Raw genomic sequence first — 6,041 nt, forward strand, 5'->3', positions numbered from 1 at the left:
AGCTTTGAGTGCCTCTCCAGCCAGGGGCCCCAGAAGCCTGGTGGTTGTTTGTCCTTCTCAGGGGAAAAGTGAGGCGGCCCCTTGGAGGAAGGGGCCGGGCAGAATGATCTAATCGGATTCCAAGCAGCTCAGGGGATTGTCTTTTTCTAGCACCTTCTTGCCACTCCTAAGCGTCCTCCGTGACCCCGGCTGGGATTTAGCCTGGTGCTGTGTCAGCCCCGGGCTCCCAGGGGCTTCCCAGTGGTCCCCAGGAACCCTCGACAGGGCCAGGGCGTCTCTCTCGTCCAGCAAGGGCAGGGACGGGCCACAGGCCAAGGGCAGCAGTCAGGCCTGCTCTGTCTGTGAACGCTCCCGGCTTGGCCTCGGCTGATGGGCCCTCACGCCTGAAGCGGGCAGGAAGCTCCGGGATGGATTTCGGGTCTTTGGAGACCGTGGTGGCCAACTCTGCCTTCATCGCCGCCCGAGGCAGCTTTGACGGCAGCAGCTCCCAACCCTCCCGGGACAAGAAGTACCTGGCCAAGCTCAAGCTGCCCCCGCTGTCCAAGTGTGAGTCCCTCCGCGACAGCCTCAGCCTGGAGTTTGAGAGTGTGTGCTTGGAGCAGCCCATCGGCAAGAAGCTCTTTCAGCAGTTCCTACAATCGGCAGAGAAGCACCTGCCGGCCCTGGAGCTCTGGAAAGACATCGAGGACTATGACACGGCAGACAATGACCTCCAGCCACAGAAGGCCCAGACCATCCTGGCCCAGTACCTGGACCCCCAGGCCAAACTCTTCTGCAGCTTCCTGGATGAGGGGATAGTGGCGAAGTTTAAGGAGGGGCCTGTGGAGATCCAGGACGGGCTCTTCCAGCCCCTGCTGCAGGCCACCCTGGCACACCTGGGCCAAGCCCCCTTCCAGGAGTACCTGGGCAGCCTGTACTTCCTGAGGTTCCTGCAGTGGAAGTGGCTGGAAGCCCAGCCCATGGGGGAGGACTGGTTCCTGGACTTCAGGGTCCTAGGGAAAGGGGGCTTCGGGGAGGTGTCGGCCTGCCAGATGAAGGCGACCGGCAAGCTGTATGCCTGCAAGAAGCTGAACAAGAAGCGGCTGAAGAAGAGGAAGGGCTACCAGGTGAGCAGCGCGACCCGGCCAGCAGGGATGGGGTGGCAGGGTGCAGGGATGGGGCGGCAGGGTGCAGAGGGCCCCCAGGTCACTGTCGGCTCCGGGGCCCTTAACAGCTGGTGCCTAAGGGAGCATGCATGCCAGCCTCGCCACGTGGGCGCCCCGCGGCCGTGCGGTTACGAGCAGTTCCAGTCCATGTGCAGAAGTCCCTCCTCGGAGAGTGACCTCCACATTTTTGGGTGGGGACGTGCCACGTTCACTCGTCGGTTTTTCACCAACCACAGACTAGCCTCAAGTGTGGGGGAAAGAGGACCTCTCAGGGGAGGCTGAAGAGGGGCAGGGTCTCCGGATTCTTTGCCATGACTGTGGAAGACTTTCCAGGGCCCTGGCTCCTCTGATCGCAGCGAATGCAGGAGGAACTGAGGCAGGACGGAGGCAGCCTCGCTCTGATGACAGTTTCTGTGAGGCAGAGCCTGGCGTGACGCCGGGGGCAGGAACTGTTCCCCTGAGTGTGCTGTCCTCGGGGGTGGGAGTGAGCGACGGGCACGCAGGCCGCTCTAAGTTTCATCCGCTCTGCCCACTGGCGTCAGACTGTGCATCTGGGGCAGGATCAGCAGAAGCTGCTTACAGGTCTTAAGGGTGAGGGGCAGCGGCTGTGCCGGGTGTGGACGTGATCTCCTGAGCCAGCCCCCTGCACTTTGACTCCACGTGGCTCCTGGCCCCTCTCCCACCACGCAGCTGTGTTGAGTGCACAGGAAGCTCTTAGGGTTAAGCAGCAGCCACTGTGCACCCTGGCTCTGCGGAACCTCAACCCTCAGTGAAGGTGAAATACCAGGTGCTCACAGCGCTGGGCGGAGGCCCTGGAACATCTGCGTGTTCTCGCCGTGGAACTCGGGGCGAGTAACTATGCTGTGTGGTTGTAGCAGTAATTTTTAAAAATTAGCTTTCTTGACATCTAATTCCCCCACCGTGCCATTCACATCTAACTGTAAATTTAACCCAACATTCAGCCTCTTTTCCTGACTTCCGTCACCAAACTGAACTCCATACTGACATCAACTGAACACCTCCCCATGTAAGTGCAGAAAGGGGCCTCCGACATCAGGAATTCCCTCTTCAAAGAGGGATGTGCTATCCTTATCCAGACACTTACAAACTCGTTCAATGGAGCATTGTGAGGTTTCAAAATAAAGACAAAATGAAGCAGAGTGGTGAGGGGGTTTGGGAGGTGCTGGTCTGGGAGCCCAGCCCACGGGGGCCTGGACAGGAGGGAGGGCTGTGGCTGCAGGATTGCTGGGCAGGCGGGGCTGGCAGGGTCCTCACCCATGTTGCTCAGCCTTGGGGCTTGAGCCTCCCCTTGCCAGAGGCTGGCCCAGAAGACCAGAAGTCCCCTGTATGTGAAGGAATTCACATGTCTGGTTTTCTGAAATGGGGGTGCAGGCATGTTTTGAAGTCATTTGCAATTGCTTTGTGAAAGGCGCATTTAAAGCATGTTTGCGACTGCTCCGTGGCTGTGTGCAGTGGGCGTGGCCGGGTGCACACGGTCTCTGCGATGCACCTAGTCCCTTTCCTATTCAAAGCCAGTGCGTACTCAGCGTCTCACTTTTCAGGGTGCTATGGTGGAGAAGAAGATTCTGATGAAAGTACACAGCAGGTTCATCGTGTCTCTGGCCTATGCGTTTGAAACCAAAGCCGACCTCTGTCTGGTGATGACCATCATGAACGGAGGTGACATCAGGTAAGGGCTGGGCCAGAGGGCACGAGGGGGCCCCGCTGTCCCACTGGGTCAGGGTTTCCAGGGCCCGGGCTCCTTTCCACAGGCAGAGCCATGGTGGCCCCAGGCCTGCCCTCGAGGGAAGCCTTGCACCCATCACAATCCCCTTCTCGCTGTTGGTTCCTGAAACAATGCACCCTGGACCCACATCGGAGCAGGAGCCTGGGAGGCGCCCAACCTGACAATCAGGGCTCGTCCTGTGTGTGGTCTTGGTGTGGGTGTGGGAGGCACGTGGTGCTGTGGGGGACGTGTGATGCAGTCGGCGGGGCCTCTGCAGGGCTGAGGGCCTTGCACCAGGAGGGTAAATGAAGACGAACTTCACCAGCGCCCACTCCTAGGGCTGACCCTAGAGCTGGAGACAAGATCAGTCCAGCTGGGGGCCGTGATCTTGCTGTCCCCAGGCAGAGAGGAGGTGGCGCTGCCTCCACAAAGTCCTGCCCCGGATCTGCCGCTGAGACAGGCCCCAGGCCCGTGCTGGGGATCAGATCACAGGCTCGCTTGGTAGCTGGGCCGCTTAGCCACTGCGTGCTTCTGTTTCCTGGTCTGTAAAATGGGGAGAGATAATATCTGAGTCCAGAGACTGTCCGGAGATTAAGACAATACGTGTGAAATACCTGCAGTGTCTGATGCCCGTAAGGTTAGCAGTGGGCAGGGGCCATGGCTGTGGCTGGCAGCACCATGCCCCATTCTCACCTGCTTTTAATTTCCAAGGAAATTCCTCCAGGTGAGGCTGGTGGCCCCATTTTTCAGATGAGAAATGTGAGTCCAGACTAAGTCACCACGCGGAGGGGGCACTGGGAAGCGCAGACACAGGGGTGTCCAGGCGGAGGGGAGGGGGCGCTGGGAAACGCAGACACAGGGGTGCCCAGGCGGAGGGGAGGGGGCGCTGGGAAACGCAGACACGGGGTGCCCAGGCGGAGGGGAGGGGGCGCTGGGAAACGCAGACACGGGGGTGCCCAGGCGGAGGGGAGGGGACATTGGGAAGTGCACACACAGGGTTGTCCAGGAGGAGGGGAGGGGTGCTAGGAAGCGCGGTCACAGGGGTGCCCAGGGAGGGCCTGGTGGCTCTGGCCGCCTTGTGGTCCGCCTGGCTCCAGGGCCTCCTCTCCTGTTTCCTGTGACGATACTCCTGGTGCCACCTCGTTTAAATTATTTCTTGTTTAAATCATTTCTTTTATTTGTTAGGTTTTGCTTCTCTGCAAAACCTGTCCGTGGAAAACATAAGAGATGATGTTCTATGGGGGAGGAAAGAGGCTGAGAAGAAACACCTTACTGCAAATCTTTCATGAGTCTGATGAACTTGGGGCCTGCGGAGCTGCATCCCACCTCGGCCTCGGCCTGGCCCCTTCCTGAGACGGTCTGGGCTGTTTCCTAGCACCTGCGGCCCGCGCTGGAAAGCAGGCGGACAGGAGACGCACGTGGACAGCACTTTCTCCCTGTTAGCAGTTGGGGTTCAGGGTCCCTGAGCTGCTAACGCCGCCAGCCACCATGGCCTTCGGGTGTCCTCTGCAGGGACGTAGGGGGGCCAGGCCTCAAAACGACCAGAACGCTGGCCGAGAGACATGGTTCTGAGGCCCCAGCTCTGTCTTTCCATGATTTTACTCCCCATTAAACCCGGGGTGCATGGTTCCCACGTGTCTTCCCCCAGGTACCACATCTACAACGTGAATGAGGAGAACCCTGGCTTCCCGGAGCCGCGCGCCCTCTTCTACACGGCGCAGATCATCTGCGGCCTGGAGCACCTGCACCAGAGGCGGATCGTCTACCGCGACCTCAAGCCCGAGAACGTGCTGCTGGACAATGACGGTAGGAGGTGCCCTCGGCTGGGAGGGATGAGGGCTACGAGGAGGGCGGGGCGCAGCTTCCTTGGGGGTCTCTGCACAACCTCACGAGGGCTGACGGCTGTGTGGACGGTGGGGGTTCATGAGGGCTGACGGCTTCGTGGACGGTGGAGGTGTCATCGGGCACCAGGAGTCACAGGAGTGAGTGCAGGGGTCTGTGGTGCAGAACCAGCTGGGAACGGCGAGTCTGTTACGCCCAGTCCCCACCTTCCTTCTGCCTGAATGAGGCGTCACACAGGGATTCTTCTCAGAAATAAACACGAGGGTTTAGGCTCCCGACAGCGGCAGGTCAGGCAAGTGCGAGACACGTGCCAGGGCCCTGAGAGAGTGCGTGGGGGGCGGGGCGAGAGCCGAGGTGGGAGGATCTCGGTGGGCAACACTCACGCTCAGCTGTGGCACGGCCGGCCCTCTTCCCTACACCCTGCGCCCTCCACCGTCAGCCAGGGAGCCACTGTCAGTGTGCGTGGTGTGTGCTGTGTGCGCGTATGTGGTTTGTGGGGTGTGTGTGTGTGTTGTGTGTGGTGTGTGTGTGGCATATGGTGTGTATGTGTGTGCAGTGTGTGGTGTGTGATTGTGTGGTGTGTGCGGTGTGTGTAAGTCTGACTGGGGTGCTGGGGCCTCGTGGTCACTTGGTATGTGTATGTGTGGTGTGTGGTACCTGTATGGTGTGGTATCTGGTGTGGTACGTGGTATGTGTGGTATTGTGTGTGGTATGTGGAATGTGGTGTGTTCGTGGTGTGGTGTGTGTGGTATGTGTGGTATTGTGTGTGGCGTATGTGTGTGGTATCTGTATGGTGTGGTACATGGTATGTGTGGTAAATTGTGTGGTGTGTGTGTGTGAGGTGTGTATGTAGTCTTTGGTTGTTTTTGTACAGTATATATCAATTCTGTGTAATCTGCCATAATTATAGCAATCAAAATTTGTTCACTCAGATCCCAAGATTTGTTTAGAACTAAACAAGTATGGTTATACAAAATTTTACTTCTCTGACCAAAATGTTCTTTCAGTGTACCCTCCTTAGCCTTTGGGTTTTGCCAATATTGTGTCTATTTACCTCAACCTAATTGTTTGTATCACCACATTTATCTCATTTTTCTCTTCCCTCTCTCTTAACTCTGTCTTGCTCTCCATTAGCTGAAATTTTTCTTTTGATGCCATTTAATGTTACAGAAACTTTATAATTATTTGCAAAACTTTCATTTTTTTTCTTCAAGAGATAGAGAACACATTGTTGAAAAGGTGAATAATTCTTTCATTCTAGATTCACTGTTTACAAATAGCCTAGAAGAAGAATGTATTCAAAGTTTAGAGCAAAGAATGTTTTAATG

At 57.3% G+C, this 6,041-nt stretch overlaps 1 protein-coding gene across 2 annotated transcripts in view; it reads left to right on the plus strand.

Moving 5' to 3' along the window:
* GRK1 (G protein-coupled receptor kinase 1) overlaps nt 1-6,041 on the plus strand; it is an 89,538-nt gene that overhangs the window by 18,781 nt on the left and 64,716 nt on the right. Inside the window, exons 1-3 of one of the 2 annotated variants that reach the window (NM_002929.3) lie at nt 240-1,106; nt 2,708-2,835; nt 4,520-4,677. In NM_002929.3, the coding sequence (NP_002920.1) occupies nt 408-1,106; nt 2,708-2,835; nt 4,520-4,677 (985 nt within the window). In that variant the 5' untranslated portion in view covers nt 240-407. Of the gene's footprint in view, nt 1-239; nt 1,107-2,707; nt 2,836-4,519; nt 4,678-6,041 lie in introns of those variants that run through there. The other variant, XM_047430493.1, reaches the window with a different exon arrangement.

This window comes from Homo sapiens, chromosome 13 (assembly GCF_000001405.40).
Source record: "Homo sapiens chromosome 13, GRCh38.p14 Primary Assembly".
In the NCBI taxonomy this organism is placed as follows: domain Eukaryota; kingdom Metazoa; phylum Chordata; class Mammalia; order Primates; family Hominidae; genus Homo; species Homo sapiens.